This window comes from Homo sapiens, chromosome X, assembly GCF_000001405.40.
Source record: "Homo sapiens chromosome X, GRCh38.p14 Primary Assembly".
Lineage (NCBI taxonomy): Eukaryota > Metazoa > Chordata > Mammalia > Primates > Hominidae > Homo > Homo sapiens.
Genome location: NC_000023.11, coordinates 108,522,157 through 108,542,841, shown reverse-complemented (window position 1 = coordinate 108,542,841; position 20,685 = coordinate 108,522,157). Strand labels below are relative to the sequence as shown.

The window sequence follows — 20,685 nt, the reverse complement described above, 5'->3', positions numbered from 1 at the left end:
GCAAATCAAAACCACAATGAGATACCATCTCACACCAGTTAGAATGGCGATCATTAAAAAGTCAGGAAACAACAGGTGCTGGAGAGGATGTGGAGAAATAGGAACACTTTTACACTGTTGTTGGGACTGTAAACTAGTTCAACCATTGCGGAAGACTGTGTGGCGATTCCTCAAGGATATAGAACTAGAAATACCATTTGACCCAGCCATCCCATTACTGGGTATATACCCAAAGGATTATAAATCATGCTGCTATAAAGACACATGCACATGTATATTTATTGCGGCACTATTCACAATAGCAAAGACTTGGAACCAACCCAAATGTCCAACAATGATAGGCTGGATTAAGAAAATGTGGCACATACGCACCATGGAATACTATGCAGCCATAAAAAAGGATGAGTTCATGTCCTTTGTAGGGACATGGATGAAGCTGGAAACCATCATTCTCAGCAAACTATCACAAGGACAAGAAACCAAACACTGCATGTTCTCATTCATAGGTGGGAATTGAACAATGAGAACACTTGGACACAGGAAGGGGGACATCACACACCAGGGCCTGTTGTGGGGTGGGGGTGGGGGGAAGGATAGCATTAGGAGATATACCTAATGTAAATGACGAGCTAATGGGTGCAGCACACCAACATGGCACATGTATACATATGTAACAAACCTGCACGTTGTGCACATGTACCCTAGAACTTAAAGTATAACAATAAAAAAAAATTAAATAAAATACAGTTTCCATTACTCTGTTGTGATTCCTTATTTGGTCACGCATCATGAGGAGATTTTCCTTTTCTATTTTCTGCTTTAAATCATAGTCTACAAATTCCAACATCTGTGTTAGTTCAGGGTTGGTTTTCATTGATTGGTCTTTTTATTGACTGTAGATCACTTTTACTTGGTAATTTTTAATTGCATACTGGATATTGTAGGTAATATGGAGAGATTCTGGATTCTCTTAACTTCCTCTGAAGAGTATTGATTAAACTTCTATTTTAAGAAATAGTATAGTTAACTCAGCTGAACTTGAACTTAAAACTCCATTCTCCTTTCAACGGACAACGGTTAAATCTATGCTCAGTTATTGCAGACTTCCAGCTGTTCCTTTTTGCTGGGTTGTATGAACCTTCCTCTATAGTTATAAACTTCAGGATTCAAGCAAGAATTTGGATGGAATCTATAAGCAATTTTTTGAGCTCTTTCCAATGTGTTTCCCTACATTCCAGTATATCCCTCTTCACTTTTCAGCCATTCTGGCATCCTCAACTCTGCTGACTCAAGCCAGTAAGACCATGGGTTTTTGTCTGGGTTTTAGCCTTCCTTTGCCATGCAGACTAAGGGCTGTACTCAGGGGAAAAGCCATATAAATGCAAATATGCCCAGTGTATTTCCTTTCTTTCAAGTGCAGATGCCTCTCCTCTTTTTCCTTTGGTTATTCTCTTGTACTATCAAGTAGCTGTTATATTTTGTCCAGAGTATTCCATTCTTATCTCAAAAGTTAATCTGATAAACATCACTCTACTATTATATGAAGTTAATCCCTCTTGGTATTTTCTCCACTACAGAAAGCACCCTTACTGCGAAACTACTCCCATCAAACTAATGTTACTCAAATAAGTGTTCTGCAGAAGACTATCCAATTAATATTAATAGCTGCTCTGTTAAGGGGAAAGTCTATAACATGGTCAAATGGGGCTTGGAAATGTAGCATTACAAAACAAACAAATAGGTTTCTTTGCTCCAGAACTTTTAAGAATGTCTAATATGCTAACGTACCTTCTATACCTCTAAGTAGATTATGCCCTAGACATACTGTCCTAAACTGCTTCATATATAATTAGCAGCATTCACTCATTCATTCAAAAATACTGAGCCCCAAAGAGTGGAGACAAGAGTATGATCCCATCTCCTAGTATAACTCTCTTTAGGCTATAATTTACTATCCCTTTTATATTTGATAATATTAATGTCATTCACTGATAGTGATTAGGCTTATGCTATATAATCTTCACCAATACTTACTTTGTAATCATAATATCTGTACAATAGGAGATGCTGCTGTGGAAAAAGTAAGATAGAAATAAACATTCAGCTGGGCATGGTGGCTCACTCCTGGAATCCCCTGCCAAGGTGGGCAGATCACTTGAGGCCAGGAGTTCGAGACCAGCCTAGCCAACAAGGCGAAACCCCATCTCTACTAAAAATACAAAAATAAGCCAGGCATGGTGGTGCATGCCTACAATCCCAGCTACTTGGCAGGCTGAGGCACGAGAACTGCTTGAACCCAGGAGGCGGAGGTTGCAGTGAGCCTTGATTGTGACACTGCACTCCAGCCTGGGTGACAGAGCAAGACCGTGTCTCAAAAACGAAAAAACAAAAAAAAAGACTTTCATCTATTATTAAACTGCATAGACTAGATAAAAATACATGATATTGCCTGGTATCTGGCAGAGATTAGTAGCTTGATAAATGTTTAGTTTCCTTCTTAAGTGTTTTTCCCCTGTCTTTGCCTATTAAGTAAGTCAGTGCCTTCAACAAGACCAATCAGAGTTTGGCAGATTATAGCTCTCAGGCCAAATGCAGATATTAAAGGACCCCAACACTTACCCAAAGGTAGCCATTAAGCTAGGGTTTCTGCACTATAGTCCCTTCTGTGGTCGCCAGAAATATGTTACGGGAAAGAGGTCCTGATCCAGATCCCAAGAGGCTCATGTTCTATGATCCAAGAGCTAAGAATATTTTTTAGTCACTTTTAAAGTTCTATTTATATAAATAAGAATATGTGACAGAAACTGATGTGTCCCATAAATCCTAAAATGTTTGCTATATGGCCTTTTACAGAAAATCTTTGCTGACCTTAAGATATAATCTAATCCTTATAAGCTCTCTAAAATAAGCAATGCAATAGGATTCATTTCACTTACTTAAGTACTGAGATAGAAGCTCTGTTTTTAAAAAAATATTTATTAAAACCATTAGTTTACTGGCTTTACTAAATTTTCAAATGCCAATCTAAGACCTCACCTTTTCCCCTTTTATGCCACTGCAGTCACACTTTGATCCTGGAGAACACCCATAGCAAGCCTATAAGGAAGAGAAAGAGGGAAAAAATCATTAAATATGAACCCAAAAATCAGACTCTGACTTACAGCTCAACTGAAATCAACAATCCAAACTTGAAAGATAGATACCAGAAAAATATCTGAAAAGATATACGAAATTGCAAATAACAGTTACCTCTCAGGAAGCTTGCACCTTTTATTATATACACTTCTGTCTTAACTTTTCAAAATGAGCAAACATAATTTTTATAATTTTAAAGTGAAAAATATCATTTTACAAGACATTAAAAATGAGATATCTCTCAATAAAGGCTAAAGATGGAAAGCTACACCATCTTCTACTTACAACAACAAAAACCCATGCACATATATTCACATATAAAGTACAGACATACATTTCAAAGTTAATTATTCTTACATTAACAGCCATTTGGGGTTATCACTACCCTTTACCTCTTCATTAATGCATGAGTGTTGACAGTATGCACAATCTAAAATATGTTAAAAATGGAAAAGAAATTCATACAACTTCCCTGTAATATGATTTGCCACATGTCCAAACTCTCAGGAACTCTCCTTTTTTTCTTCTAACATTGCTTGTAAAAAATTACCTCTCACTCTGTATTAGCAATGACCTTGGCAACTAGACAACAATGCCTACCACTTCAAGTCACTTGTTTCTCTCCATTCATGAGCAATCATGGAGCATAAAATATATAACACTATCTTTTACCACCTTTCTTTCTTTTCTTTGCTCCTACTCCTTCATCACTAATAATAGCTCAGTCTCTAACAGCTTTACCATAAATGCTGCTCCCACAGTCTAGATGTTCTAAACAGGCATTCAATCATATTAGGAATTGAGGTCCTCAAGCCAGAAAAATATCCTCCTCCAAAATAGAAAACCTATAGAGGAAAAGAATACAGTATGTGACTTCTGCCATTCAGTACTATCCTTTACTCTTAGAAAATGAACTGCTTAGAAAAACAAGTTAGTTTAATATACATGGATAGCTCAGTGTTTACTTACAAGGAGGTGGCATTCTTTTCATCAGATAGATACCAGACTGAGTTACTGAAACCTTCATGTGACATAAATACCAAATAATGCCCATCAATCTTGAGGGCCTTTGATATAAAATACCTTAGCCTGCTGCTCAACATTCCATGATTTCCTTTACTCTAGTCACTACCAAAGTACCCTCCTCAACCCTTTTGAAAGTACTGACCTTATCCTTCTGGTCAGAACTCCTAACTCACTCAGCTGCAACTAAAAGTCACCTTCATACTGAAACCTCTTTTCCTGATTATAAGAGCAAACTACAATGGCTTGATGTTGCAGTAATCTCTCACTCACACTACAAGAGGCTGCTCCAGTGAAAGCTGTGCTCCTGACACGTCAAACAGAAAGTCTGCTATGCCGCTATTATTTATTATTCATAGATGTTTGGGGGTTATATACTGATTTTAGTATTTTACGCTAACTACACTACAGATTAAATAGGCTTATTCAGACTTACTCATTCATCAAATATGAATTGAATATTACTAGAGGACAGAAAAATTGTTAGGCACTAGACTTCTAAGATGAGTAACACACAGCTCCCTCCAACATGTGTAACTAATTCAAGAAATACTTATTGATCACCTGTTATGTGACAGCCACTATGTTATGTTAGGTGCAAGTAGAAGTACAAAGTACATCATTGCTCTCTAATGGGAAGGATGAACCCATCTACAAAAAATTATATTACAATGTGCAGGAAACAGAGGTTAATTAAAAATATATAATATTTTTCTGCAAACATAAATTTTAAGTTCCAGACTATGGATTTTATAAAATTTAGAAGATACCGTTTCACAAGAAGATACTGATTCACAAGTTCACAAGACAGTAACTGTCAACAGTCGTAGTCCCTGAATTAAATTGTGCATATTGTCAACACTCATGCATTAATGGAGAGGTAAAGAGTAGTGATAACCCCAAATGGCTGTTAATGTAAGAATAATTAACATTTGACACTGAAATGCATGTCTGAACTTTATATGTGAATATATGTGCATGGGTTTTTGTTGTTGCGAGTAGAAGACAGTGTAGCTTTCCATCTTCAGCCTTTATTGAGAGATCTTCTTCTTTTAAATACAAATTAAGCTCCTAAAAATAATGCAAAGCAATAACCTGACAGGATTTCATTGATATGAACAAGTTTCTATGTGACCTTTCTTTATAATTGCATTTTGACTTCTCAGTATCCAACGATAGCCCCTAACTCCTAATATAATTTATAAACAAGCAAAACCTTAAATACTCTCGCATGTCATTTTACAAGTAATTTTGTATAATTTTTTGCAATTTTTTATTAACATGTAGCTTTACTTTAGAGAGAGCACAGATTAAAACAGTTGTGAATTATAGATAAATGTGTTTAAATTCAATTTAAAATTTTAATTTATAGTCTATTTATTCCACCTAGGTTATGAGAATGACTCTGGTACTCATAGGTTAAAACAAAACAGGCAATTGTAATACGCACACCAACCACTAGATGCCACTTTCTATACAGTTATAACAGTGGCGCCCACAAGGAGATAGCCCCAGTTTGACATCTGGTTAATGGAACAATTTGTTTTTTTACCAACATCTATTAATATTGATTAGGTGTCTAATAAACACAAGCACAATAATAGTTCTATGAGTTGTACAAAAGTACATGCAGGTGCTACCTTTAAGGAACTTCCAGTCTAGGTTTTTTGTTTTTTTAAGTAACTAGGTATTTTATTTTTTAAGTAACTGGGTATTTTCAGGACATATGAAAAGAATATCAAAATACAATGGAATAATGATACAGCGGTATATCATAATTTTACTTCAGAAGTTGAAACATTTGACCATGGACAAATCATTTCCATACTCTTTGGCTGTTTTCTCATTTGTAAAATGGCATACATAGACAATATGATCTCCTTAGGTAGCTTCCAGATTTCACTCTCTGTGATTCTGTAGGATTTGCCAGGTAAAAATGAGTGGTATAGTCAATAATTGCTATCAAAGTTAAGAAAAACAGTTCCCTTGAGCCTGAAAGTATTGACAAAGGCTCTGTGGAGAAAGTGAATACCTGGACTTCAACTTGGAAGGATAGACAGAAAGCTACCTAGAGGAAAAATTGCCATGCTAAGCATGATTAAAATACAAAATTGATTGGGGCAAAGAAGTAAAATGAACATTAAGTACCTCAGTCTAAAAGGCTAAGTTCATATGAAAAAAACTAATTTTTCGAAATCACTGAAGATGAAAGAAGCAAGAAAATGATGAAACTACAGTAATATTTTAAATTTTTATTGTGGGAGAAAGTAATAAATGAGTAAGGAAAGTTTTGTATTATCACACAGTAAAACACATCACAACACTACAATAATTAAAATAGTATGGTATTCAGTTAACAAAAATAGGAAGGCCAGAAACAGATTTACACATGCAAGCACGTGCACACACACACACACACACACAACTACTATATGATAAAAGTTGACGTCAAATAGATGTGAAAACAATGAATTTTTCAACATATGGTGCTAGAATAAATATAAAAAATAATAAATTTAGATCTCATGCTGCTACAATTAAAACAGCAGATATTAGACTTAAAAGTACAAATAAAAACAAATTCTGTATGAATTAGGGTCACCTAAAGAACCTCACAAAAATTTACATACCAGCAACCCATCGTAAAGATTCTTCCAGTAAGCTGAAGTTGAATAGCAGAATCTGAAATTTTAATAAACATCTCTAAGTAATTTTGATTCAGGTGTTCCAAGGAGACACATACTACAAAATAATGGCAGAGAGAAATAAGAAATATTCCAATAATGTGGCCAGTTAGGTATCCAGACTGAAATGCTTACTTAAAAAAAAAATGCTTGGAAAAAAGTAAAAACTTCTTCCTAAAAGCATCAAAGGGAAGCACAGTAGGATTTATCAAATCAAAATCTAGGGAAAACCAAAAAATGAACTGATCAATGAAACTACTTTTTCCCGGAGGACATATGCCAAACTTGGATAATTTTTGGGTTTTGTTTTATAATTTCTTTTACTATAAGGGTGTACCACGCATAAATGTACCTCACAATCCCACACCCAGGGAGGTGGAAGAAAAGATCTCTTGGTGCTTAGCAGAGAAGTACAGGAAAAAAAACCCTTAAAAAACTCACCACAAACTGGCCAGATTTGCAATCCAAATTAGCATTACCTGAGTGGACTCTGACTGCATTGACCTTCTAGAGGCTGGGCAAAAATACATACTGACTCTACGTAGAAAAAACATGCCTTCATAGTAAACTTCAAATAATTCTAATGTATCATTTTTTTAAAGGAAGATGAGATTTCCTAATTAAAAACCATTAAGCATACAAGAAAAAAAACCATAAGCAAAAGCCAAAAGAAACATATGACAACAGAAAGTACTCACTAAATATTTCACACATTGGAATTATCAGATAAAAAATATATAGTAACTATCTTTACAATTATAGAAGAATTTTTCTAACTTAAAAATAATAAAGGGAGCCAGCAATTGTATGAAAATGACATAGCTCAATCGAAATAAAATATAAATTCTAGAAGTAAAAGCTATAGTAATTGAAATTTAAAACTCAATGGATGGGCTTCACAACAGACTAGATAGAGCTGAAGAGAGACAGTATAAAGTTAAAAGACTTAGTAAAGCTAAAAAGAAATTATATATAATGTGGCATAGAGATAAAACATGGAAACTGTGAAATAATCATTAAGAGACATGGAAGAAAGAGTGAGGAAGAATAACATAAAGGAAATTGGGATTCTAGAAGAGGTGAGAGAGGGAATAAAGACAATACTAAAGAGACAACGGCTAAGATTTCTCAAGAAAAATCTACAGATATTTGTGATTCAAGAAACCAAACAGATTCAATGGCATAAAAATAAAACCTGAAACTAGGTGCAGCAGAACATAACTGCATAACATAAAAGTAAAGGAAAGGCCTTAAAAGCATCAAAAAAGACAAGACAGACCGCCTTCAAGAGAGTGAAAATTAATTTACAGATTAGTTCTCAGAAGCAATAATCAAAGCCAGAAGACCACGGAATGACATCTTTAATATGCTAAGAACCCAGTTCTCTTCATCCTCCCCCTCCTTGACACTTACCCTTCCCAGTCTCTGTTCTCTGTCTTTCCACTGTCTACCTCCATATGGTCAATTTTTTAGCTCCCACATACAAGTGAGAACATGCAATATTTGTCAATCTGTGGCTGGCTTATTTCACTTAAGAGAATGACATCGAGTTCCATCCATGTTGCTGCAAATGACATGATTTCACTAGTTTTTATGGCTAAGTAGTATTCCATTCTGTATATGTACCACATTTTCTTTATCCATTCACCTGTTGATACACACTTAGGTTAATTGCATATCTTTGTGATTATGAATACTGCTGCAATAAACAGGCAAGTGTAGGTATTTCTTTGATATATTGATTTCTTTACCTTTGGATAGATACCTAGTAGTGGAATTGCTGGGTTGTATGGTGATGCTATGTTTAGTTTCTTTCTTTCTTTCTTTCTCTTTCTCTCTCTCTCTTTCTCTTTCTCTCTTTCTTTTAAATATCCATACAGTTTTCTGGTGGCTGTACTAGATTATGTTCACAACAGCATATAAGAGTTCCCTTATTTTTTTTATCCTTGCCAACATCTGTTGTTTTTTGTCTTTTTATTAATAGCCATTTTGACTGGGATAAGATGATATCTCATTGTGGTTTTCATCTGCATTTCTCTGATGATTAGCGATGTTGAGCATTTTACATATACCATTTGTATGTCTTTTTTATGAGAAATGTCTATTCAGGTCTTTTGCTTACTTTAAACGGGATTAATTGGAGTTTTATTTTGTTTTGTTTGTTTTTTCCTGTTGTTTGAGTTCCTTTTGTATTCTCAATATTAGTCCCCTGTCAGATAAATACTTTGCAAAAATTGTCTCCCATTCAACAAGTTGTTTATTCCCTCTGTTGATTGCTTCGTTTGCTGTTCAGAAGCTTTTTATTTAATATAGCCCCATTTGGCTATTTTTGTTTTTGTTGCCTGTGCTTTTGAGGTCTTAGTCAAATTCTTTGCCTAGACCAATGTCCAGGAGAGTTTTCCCCTGGAATTTCTTCTAGTAGTTTTATATTTTCAGGTCTTATATTTACATAAAATTTTAGCTTGTTGAATTGCTTAAGTTCCTTGTAGATTCTGGATATTAGACCTTTGTTGGATGCACAGTTCACGAATATTTTCTCCCATTCTGTAGGTTGTCTGTTTACTCTGTTGATAGTTTCTTTTCCTGTGCAAAAGAAGATTTAAGTCTTTAATCCATCCTGAGTTAATTTTTGTATATGGTGAGAAATACGGGTCCAGTTTCATTCTTCTACATGTGGCTATCCAATTTTTCCAGCACCATTTAATGAAGAGGATTACCTTTCCCCAGTGTAAGCTCTTGTCAGCTTTGTTGAAGATCAATTGGCTATGAAGATGTGGCTTTATTTCTGGGTTCTCTATTCTGTTCCATTGGTCTATATTTTCATAACAATATAATGCAGTTTGGGTTACTACAGCCTTGTAATATATTTTGAAGTCAGGTAATGTGATGCCTCCAGCTTTGTTTTTAGGTCAGGGTTGCATTGGCTATTCAGGCTCTTTTTTGGTTTCATATACATTTTAGGATTTGTTTTCTAATTCTGTGAAAAAATTGCATTGGCATTTTGATAGCGATTATGTTGAATGTATAGATTCCTTTGGGCAATACGATGACTTTAACAATATTAATTCTTCTGATCCATGAGTATAAAATATTTTTCCATTTGTTTCTATCACCTGCATTTCTTTCAACAGTGTTTTGTAGGTTTCCTTGTAGAATCAATCCTCCTTGGTTAAATTTATTCCTATGTATTTTACTTATTTTACCAAATGTAAATGGAATTGCTTTCTTTCTTTCTTTCCTGGTTAGATCATTATCGGTGTGTAGAAAGGCTACTGATTCTTGTACATTGATTTTGTATCCTGCAACTTCACTGAATTCATTCTTTAAGCTTCTCTAGATAGATATATCGGTAAAGAGGGGCAATTTGACTGCTTCTTTTCCCATTTGGATGCCTTTTTTATTTTTCACTTGCTTGATTGCTCTTAATAGGACCTCCAGTACTATGTTGAATAGGAGTGGTGAAAGTCAACATCCTTGTCTTGTTCCAGTTTTTAGAGGAAAGGATTTCAGCTTTTCTTCATTTAATATGATGTTTGCAGTGGATTTGAAGTATATGGCCTTTATTATGCTACGGTATATTCCTTCTATGCCTAGTTTGTTGAGAGTTTCAATCACGAAGGGATGTTAAATTTTATCAAATGCCTTTTCTGCATCTATTGAGATGGTCATATTGTTTTGTCCTTCAATCTGTTGATGTAATGTATCACATTTATTGATTTGCAAAGGTTGTGCCTTCCTTGCCTTCAATCCCAATGGACCCATGTGTATTATATTTTTGACGTACTGTTGAATTGGATTTGCTAGTATTTTTTAAATTGTTTTTCAATCAATCTTCACCAGGGATATTTGCCAGCAGTTTTCTTTTTTGGTTGAATCCTTGTCTGATTTTCATATCAGGGTGATGCTGTCCTCGAGGAATGAATTAGGGAGAATTTCCTACCCTTGGATTTTCTGGAATAGTTTCAGGAGGATTGGTATTATTTCTGTCTTGTACGATTGTTAGAATTTGGCTGTGTATCCATCTGGTCCTGGGCTTTTCTTCGTAGGGAGAATTTTTATTACTGATTCAATCTCACTACTCATTATTGGTCTGTTCAGGTTTTCTATTTCTTCCTGATTCAATCTTGGTAAGTAGTATGTTTCCAGGAATTTATCCATTTCTTCTAGGATTTCCAGTGTGTCAGTGTATAGTTGTCCATAATAATCTCTGATGATCTTGTGTATTTTTGTGATATCAATTGTAGTGTCTTTTTTTCATTTCTGATTTTATTTGGGTCTTTTCTTGGTTAGACTAGCTAGCAGTTTACAAATTTTGTGTATCTTTTCAAAGAAGCAGTTTTACATTTTGTTGGGCCCTTATGTTTGCTTTTGTAGTCTCTGTTTAGTTCTGCTCTGATCTTTGCTATTTTTTTTCTTCTGCTAACTTTCGATTTGGTTTGTTCTTGCTTTTCTAGTTCCTTGAGGTGCATTGCTAGATTGTTAAATTTTTATTTTTCTACGTTTTTAATGTAGGCATTTATTGCTATAAACTTCTCTCATAGCACTATTTTTGCTGAATATGTATGTTGTGTTTACATTTTCATTTCAATAAATTTTTATTTATTTATTTATTTTATTTTTTATTTATTTATTTCATTATTATTATACTTTAAGTTTTAGGGTACATGTGCACAATGTGCAGGTTAGTTACATATGTGTACATGTGCCATGCTGGTGTGCTGCACCCATTAACTCGTCATTTAGCATTAGGTATATCTCCTAATGCTATCCCTCCCCCCTCCCCCCACCCCACAACAGTCCCCAGAGTGTGATGTTCCCCTTCCTGTGTCCATGTGTTCTCATTGTTCAATTCCCACCTATGAGTGAGAACATGTGGTGCTTGGTTTTTTGTCCTTGAGATAGTTTACTGAGAATGATGATTTCCAATTTCATCCATGTCCCCACAAAGGACATGAGCTCATCATTTTTTATGGCTGCATAGTATTCCATGGTGTATATGTGCCACATTTTCTTAATCCAGTCTATCATTGTTGGACATTTGGGTTGGTTCCAAGTCTTTGCTATTGTGAATAGTGCCACAATAAACATACGTGTGCATGTGTCTTTATAGCAGCATGATTTATAGTCCTTTGGGTATATACCTAGTAATGGGATGATGGCTGGGTCGAATGGTATTTCTAGTTCTAGATCCCTGAGGAATCGCCACACTGACTTCCACAATGGTTGAACTAGTTTACAGTCCCACCAACAGTGTAAAAGTGTTCCTATTTCTCCACATCCTCTCCAGCACCTGTTGTTTCCTGACTTTTTAATGATTGCCATTCTAACTGGTGTGAGATGGTATCTCATTGTGGTTTTGATTTGCATTTCTCTGATGGCCAGTGATGGTGAGCATTTTTTCATGTGTTTTTTGGCTGCATAAATGTCTTCTTTTGAGAAGTGTCTGTTCATGTCCTTCGCCCACTTTTTGATGGGGTTGTTTGTTTTTTTCTTGTAAATTTGTTTGAGTTCATTGTAGATTCTGTATATTAGCCCTTTGTCAGATGAGTAGGTTGCGAAAATTTTCTCCCATTTTGTAGGTTGCCTGTTCACTCTGATGGTAGTTTCTTTTGCTGTGCAGAAGCTCTTTAGTTTAATTAGATCCCATTTGTCAAATAAATTTTTAAATTTCCATCATAATTTCTTCATTGACCCAGTGGCCACTCAGGAGCATGTTATTTAATTTCCATGTATTTTCAGAGTTTCCAATCTTCCTCTTTGTATTGATTTCTAGTTTTATTCCAAAGTGGTCTGAAAAGAAAACTGATATTATTTCAATTTTTAAAATTTGTTGAGACTTATATTGTGACCTAACACATGATCTATCCTGGAGAATGGTCCATGTATAACTGCAGGATGTATAACCTGCAGTTGTTGGGTAGGATGTTTTGTAAATGTCTGTTAGGTTTATTGGGTCTGAAGCCCTATTTATACCCAATGTTTCTTTGTTGATTTTCTGTCTAGATGATGTGTCTAAATGCTGAGAGTGGAGTGTTGAAACCCCCACTTTGATTGTATTGTCATCTATTTCTCTCTTTGGAATATTTGCTTTATGAATCTGGAAGCTACAGTATGGGGTGCATATATATTTGGAGTTGTCGTATCTTCTTGCTGGATTGTTCCATTTATCATTACATAATGACCTTCTCTGCCTTTTTTTTTTAACTGTTCTTGACTTAAACTCTCTTTTATCTGATATAGGTATAGCTATTCCTGCTTACTACTATTTCCCATTTGTATGGAATATCTTTTGCCATCCCTTTACTTTCAGTCTATATGTGTCTTTACTGTTAGGGTGAGTTTCTTATACATGGCATATAGTTGCATCATGTTTTTTTAAAAATTCATTCAGCCATTTAATATATTTTAAGTGGAAAATATAATCCATTTACATTCAAGGTTATTATTAATATGTGAAGCTCTGTTTCTGTAATTTTGTTAATGGTTTTCTGGTTGTTTTATATATTCTTTGTTTATTTCTTTTTCTCTTTTTAATTGTTTTTGAGGTTTGGTAGATTGCTATAGTGTTACCGCTTCAGTCCTTTCTTTTCCTTCTTTGATTGACTGGTTTATCTGTGAGTTTTATACTTTCATGTTCTTTCATGATCTTAAATATTGTCCTTTTGCTTCCAGGTTTAGGACTCACTTGAGCATTTCTTGTAGGGTCAGTCTAGTCATAAAGAATTCCCTCAGCATTTGCTTATCTGTGAAAGATTTTTTATTTCTTCTTCATTGATGAAGGATAATTTTGAGGGATGTAGTATTCTTGGCTGGCAATTTTTTTCTTTCAGCACTTCGAATATATTTATTCCCTTTCTCTTCTGGCCTGTAAGGTTCTGCTGAGCAATCCACTGTTAATTTGATAGGGTTTCATTTAGAAGTGACTAGACACTTTTCTCTTACTGTTTTCAGGATTTGCTCTTTATATTTGACTTTAGACTTTCTGACTATAATGTGTCATGGAGAAGATTTCTTTGCATTATATCTACCTAGGGATCACTGAGCCTCCTGTATCTGATTATGTAAATCTCTCACTAGACTTGGGAAGTTTTCACCTATTCTTTAAATAGGTTTTCTAATCCTTTCTTTGTCTCTTCATCCTTGGGGCTAACAATAATTTTTAAGATTTGATCAATTTATGTTGTCCCAAATGACACAAAGCTTCGCTCATTCTTTTTAAAATTCTTATTTCTTTATTCCTACCTGACTGGTTTATTTAAAAAGAACTGACTTCAAGTTTTGAGGTTCTTTATTCCACCTAATCTATTTGGTTCTTTTTAAAAATACTTATCTCTTTAGTAATATTGTTCATTCTTATCCTTAACTGTGTTTTGATTTCTTTGTATTGTTTTTCGGAATTATCTTATATCTCACCCAGCTTCTTTAAAATCAATATTTTGAATTCTTTCTCTGGAATTTCAAAAGTGTCTTTTTGATTAAGATCTATTGTTGTAGAATTATTGTGTTCCTTTGCAAGTGTCATATTTCCTTGCTTTTTCATATTTCTTGTGTCCTTGTGTTGGTAACTGTGCATCTGGTGTAACAATCATTTCTTCCTATTTTTGAATTTACTTTCATAGGGAAGGATATTTTTCTGAAGATGTATCTAAGATATTGGCTGTGTATGGTACTTTGACTTTGATTCTGTTCATAGTGCTATAGTCTCTGTGTGATTTCTTTGGCTGTAAACAGCATTAGTGGTGTTTATGGTTTCCTTGGTGTGTTAGGGTATGGTTATTAGTGAAGGCTGTGGTGAAGTTGTGCTGGGGACTGGAACAACAGGTGTGCTAGTCTTAAGGCTGCGGTGGTGGCACCAGTGGGCTGAGCATGCATATCTTTGTGCCCTAGAGCATTTTACACTGGCACTGGTGTTGGCTGTTGTCAGTGGGCCTATTCTTAGGCCTCCAGGTGTCTTGCTTGGATGCTGATAATGCCAGCAGTGGACCAGGTGGGTGAGCAGGTTCTTCAGTCCCTGGGCAGCTGGCATGGTGTGGGTGATGGCAGTAGCAGTGGACGGACAATTGTCTGGGTCTTGAGCAGTGTGCACTGACGTTGATAGTAGCTGCAATGGGCTGGGTAGGCCCATGTCCAGGCCCATATGTGGTGCTTGCAGGCAGGTACCAGCTGAAGTGGTAGTGGTTGGGAGTTTAGGCCCAACCTCAGGCCCCCAGGAGGACTGGGGCCCACGGTGGTGGATTGGGTTAGATAATCCCCAGGACCTCAGGCTATGTGTTCTCTCTCAGAGCAGAAGCTCGGCTCTGCGGCTTGTGCTCAGGACCCCAATGGTGAGTGCAAGCACCAGCTCTGTTAGGTGGGGGTAGGGTAATATTCAGTATCCAGGTGGAGTGTTCAGGTGAGGGGTGGTAGCAGCCATGCTGAGACTCTGCCACTGGAAAGAGTGGGGCTGCCTTGGTAGCCTCAGCTTGGGCTGGTGGGTAGGCAACATGCATCTCTTTCATACTGTGGCATTTAAAATATAGAATTGAAAGAAATACACATTGGTAATATGATGTAAGTGAGATAGGGTGAAAGAAGTTAAAGCATTCTTAAGGTCTTTGTAATTGTATAGAAAACTGGTAAGGATATTGATTACTTTGGACTTTGATACATATACAACCTAGAAATTGTCACTTCTAGGGTAAACCTTTAAAAAAGATAAATAGAGTATTAATCCCAAAGTAATTGAGGGGCACAATACTTAATACATCCAAAAGAAGACGAAAGAGAGGCAGACAGAGAAAGTGATACCTTAAAATGCAAGACAAATAAAACAAATATATCAGTAATTACATTAAGTGTAATTAAGTGTAAATCGACACAACATGGGACAAATTTGGAATAAGGTACATTATAAAAAACAACTAGCACGGACTCTTCAAAAAGTCAATGCCAGCTGGGTGTGGTGACTCATTCCTGTAATCCCAGCACTTTGGGAGGCCAAGGTGGGAGGACCACTTGAGCCTGGGAGTTCACATCCAGCCTGGGACACAAGATGAGATCCCTATCTCTACAAAAAAAATTAAACATCAACCAGCCATGGTGACATGCACCTGTAGTCTTAGCTACTCAGGAGACTGAGGAGGGAGGATCACTTGAGCCTATGAGATTAAGGCTGCAGTGAGCCATGATTGTTCCACTGCACTCCAGTATGTGCAACAGAGCAAGACCCTGTCAAAAAAAAAGAAGAAAGGAAAGGAAAAGAAAAGAAAAGAAGAAGAAGGAGGAGGAGGAGGAAGAAAGAAAGAAAGAAAGAAAGAAAGAAAGAAAGAAAGAAAGAAAGAAAGAAAGAGAAAGAAAGAAGAAAGAAAGAAAGAAAGAAAGAAAGAAAGAAAGAAAGAAAGAAAGAAAGAAAGAAAGAAAGAAAGGAGGGAGGGAGGGAGGGAGGGAGGAAAGGAAGGAGGGAGGGAAGGAAGGAAGGGAGAGCGAGAGAAAGAAAGAAAGAAGGAAAGAAGAAAGAAAGAGAAAGAAAGAAAGGAAGAAAGAAAGAGGAAAAGGAAAGGGAAAAAGTCAATGCCATGCCATGGGAGAGATGACTTTGTGAATGGCAGTGTGAGGACCTCTGTGGACCATCTCCCTAGCAAAACAATGATAAGTGGGGAAATTTATGTTTTAAAAACTCAAGTATCTGGATATTGTCCTACGAACATACAGCCAATGAACAAACGTTCAACAATATGTGTTAAATCTTGATATGTACAACAGGTATCTATGGCATTATGACCTGCTCCTTCCTTCTCCACCTCCCTTGCTCAGCTTCACAAAGGCTTCACCCAAGGTAGGTGCATCCATAAACCAGGGCTCCTTCTCCTCCCAGCTCCCAGTTAAGCACTACAGTATCTCACAGGAAGGAACAAGTCATCAGCATTTCTGATCTTCCCCTACCGTGTGTGTCCTGTTATAGAAGCTCTGTTCCAAGTGAGAGTAGCTGAGAGTTCTTAGACTCTTGTCCTCCACACAGCCCTAACTCATAAGGCAAAAGCTCTACTCCAGCCAGGCACAGCAGCCCAGGAGTATTTGATCTGGTTGCCCTCACTCTAACTTGCTCATAGAACAGAAGATGATGCTGAAAGAGGCAAGCCAGGAAGATCAAAGGCTATTCTTCCTGCTTAGTGCCCTGCTAATAAAGCAGGTGTGTTACTCCAAAAGAAGGGGAACAGTGTTCCCGCTCCCAGCTCTGGAACAGTATCAGCAATTTTGCCTAGAGTAAGAGAAGACAGTAAGAATAGAGAACTCTATAAATCTTAAGTAAACTCTAATAGGTTATAATTTACGTGGTAAGCAACCATTAAGAAAAACAAATAAAAATACATTAAATAAAATCATTAAAGAAACTGCAATATTAAACTAGAAAATATTCACTTAATAAAAAAAAAGAAGGCAGTAAAGGAGGAACATAAGAACAACAACAAAAAACCATGAGATACATAGAAAACAAAAAGTGAAATTACGGACAAAAATCCAACTATATCAATAATAACATTGAATGTGCATGGATTAAACAAGCCAAACAAAAATCAGAGATTGGCAGACTTCATAAAAAAATCAAGATCCAATGGCAGCTACAGAACACATTAGATTAAAACATACAAAAAGGTTGAAACTACAAGGATTGAAAAATACAGTCATGCTAACAGCAACCTTAAGGAAGCTAGAGTAGATGTGCTAATAACAGATAAAATATATTCTAAAACAAAAAAAGTCTAGAGATAGAGAGAGGAATTTTATAATGATAAAAGGGTCAATTCTACAGGATGCCATGTCAATTATAAACACAGATACATCTAACAACAGAACACCAAGATACATGAAACAAAAACTGGCTGAATCAAAGTAAGAAATAGACAATTCAAAAATAGTTGGGGACTTCAATACTCCACTTTTAATAATCAGTGGAACAGTGAGAGACAGAAGATCAACAAGGAAATAGAGGACTTGAACAACACTATAAACCAACTGCATTTAAGACACATCTATTCAACACTCTGCCCAATTACAGTAGAATATACCTTTTTCTCAAGAATGCATAGAACATTCTCCAGGATAGATCATATGCTAGGCCATAAAACAAACATCAATAAACTTAAAAGTATTGCAATTACACAAAGCATGTTTTCCAACCACAATGGAATAAAATTAGAAATCAATAACAGAAATAAACAGGATATCAACAAGTATAAAGAAAAGAAATATTTCACTTTTAATTAACCTATAGGTCAAAGAACAAATGACAAGGTTTATTAGAAATATTTTGAGGTGAGTGAAAATAAAACCACACAATACCAAAACATATGGGACTCATTTAAAGCAGTGATTAGAGATAAATTTGCAGCAGTAACTGCCTATATTAAAAAAGATGCCAAATCATAAACTAACATTTCAATGTAAAACATCAGAAAAAGAGAGCGAAGTAACCCCAAAACAAGTAGAAAGAAGGAAATAATAAAGATTTGAGCTGAAATTAATGAAATGAACAATAAAAAATGAATAGGGAAAATCAACAAGATCAAAAGCTGGTTCTCAGAAAAGCTCAAAAAAATTGTCAAACCACCAAGAAAAGAGAAGACTCAAATTAAAATCAGAAATAAAAGAGAGGACATTACTATTAAGATCAGAATAACAGGGAAATTCCTCAACTTGATAAGGGCATCTACAAAAAACCCACAGCTAACGCTATACTTAATGGTAAAAGACTAAATCATTTCCCTATAAGACCAGGAACAAGACAAGAATGTCCACTCTGTCATTTCTTTTCCACATAATCCTACAGGTTCTATGTAGGGCAATTACACAAGGAAATTAACAATCCCTATGCAAATTTTTTCATTTTTAATTTTTTGTGGGTACATAGTAGGTTTATGTATTTATGGGGTATATGAGATGTTTTGATACAGGCATGCAATGTGAAATAATCACATCACAAACCATCCATATCAAAAAGAAGGAAGTAAAGCCCTATCTCTTTGCATAAGACACAGTCTTGTAAACAGAAAATCCTATTAGAGCAAATAAATGAATTTAGCAAGGTCACATGGTACAAGATCACTATATAAAAATCAATTGTATTCCTATAGACTAGCATAAAGTTAAGTGAAAAAATCCATTTACAACTGCATGAAAATGATAAAATTCTTAGGAATAAACTTAAGAAATGAAAAATTTTTACTCTGAAAAACTACAAATCATTGTTGACAGAATTTAGAGAAAACCTAACTAAATAAAAAATTATCCCATGTTCATGGATCAGAAGACTTAATATTGCTAAGATGATAATGCTCCCTACATTTTTCTGCACCTTCAAGGCAATCCTTATAAAAATTCCAACCGCCCTCTTTGCAGAAATGGAAAAGCTGATCATAAAACTGACATGAAATTCATAGGGAATTGCAAGGAACCCCAAAGGCCAAAATAATATTTAAAGAACAAAGCTGAAGGATTTACACTTTCCAATTTCAAAATTTGCTACAAACCTACAATAATCAAACCAGTGTGGTACTGGCAAAAGGACAGACGTGTAGATCAATGGGACAGAATTGAGATTACAAAAATAAACCCATACATCTATGGTGAATAGATTTTTGACAAAGGTGCCAAGGACATTCACTGAGGGAAGGAATAGTATTACAACAAACACTGCTGGAACAACTGGATACCTATATGCAAATGAATAAACTTGGACCTCTTCTACACACTATACATAGAAATTAACTTAAAACAGATCAAAGATTAAACACAAGAACTAAAACTATAAAACTCTTAGAAGAAAACACAGAGCTAAATATTCTTGGGCCGGGGAGGGTGGCTCATGCCTGTAATCCCAGCACTTTGGGAGGCTGAGGAAGGCAGGTCACCTGAGGTCAGGAGTTCAAGACCAGCCTGGCCAACATGGTGAAACCCCATCTCTACTAAAAATACAAAAATTAGGGCATGGTGGCACGCGCACCTGTAATTCCAGCTACTCAGGAGGCTGAGGCAGGAGAATCACTTGAACCCGGGAGGCGGAGGTTGCAGTGAGCCAAGATTGAGCCAGTGAACTCCAGCATGGGTGACAGAGCAAGACTCTGTCTCAAAAAAAAAAAAAAAGTAATTTTTTTTTTACCTTTGTTTAGTCAAAGCCTTCTTAGATATTATAGCAACAGTACAAGTAACAAAAAAAGTTAAAAACAATTTTATCAAAATTGTAAAAGTTTGAGCTTCAAAGGACACTACCAAGAAAGTGAAAAGACAACCTACAGAATGGGAAAATGTATTTGCCAATCATATACCTTACAGGAGAATCATATCAAGAATATATAAAGAATTCTTATAATGTACTAGAAAGCAAATAATACAATTTATAATGGGCAAAAGATTTGAATAGACATTTTTCAAAATATATATATATCTTTTTATGGGCTTATTGTACATAAATATATGCTCAACATCGTTAATAATCAGGGAAATGAAAAGAAAATCAAAACCACAATGAAATACCACTTCACGCACACTAGATAGCTATAATCAAGACAGACAATAACAGGTATTATTGAGGATGTGGAGAAACTGAAACTCTCCTACATTGCTAGTGGGAATGCAAAATGGAGTAACCACTTTATAAAAGTCGGGCAGTTCCTAAACAAAGTAAACGTGATCCAGCAATTCCACTCTTAGGTATAAAACAGAAACATGTCTATGCAAAAATCTGTACATGAATGTTCATAGCATCATTATTTATAAGAGTCAAAAAAGTATAAAACAACCTAAATGTCCATGAAAAAATGAACTGAAAAACAAAATGTAGTATATGCATACAATATAATATTATTTG

The 20,685-nt window shown here is 35.5% G+C and overlaps 1 protein-coding gene across 9 annotated transcripts in view; it reads right to left on the bottom strand.

The window, feature by feature from the left end:
• Positions 1–20,685, bottom strand: part of COL4A5 (collagen type IV alpha 5 chain) — a 257,708-nt gene that overhangs the window by 154,704 nt on the left and 82,319 nt on the right. For 5 of the 9 annotated variants that reach the window (XM_011530849.3, XM_017029259.3, XM_017029260.2 and 2 more), the window contains exons 1-3: positions 8,256–8,314; positions 6,789–6,840; positions 3,037–3,096 (exon numbers count right to left, since the gene is read on the bottom strand). In XM_011530849.3, coding sequence (XP_011529151.2) covers positions 3,037–3,096; positions 6,789–6,840; positions 8,256–8,299 — 156 coding nt within the window. In that variant the 5' untranslated portion in view covers positions 8,300–8,314. Of the gene's footprint in view, positions 1–3,036; positions 3,097–6,788; positions 6,841–8,255; positions 8,315–20,685 lie in introns of those variants that run through there. The other 4 variants (NM_033380.3, NM_000495.5, XM_047441811.1 and 1 more) reach the window with 2 other exon arrangements.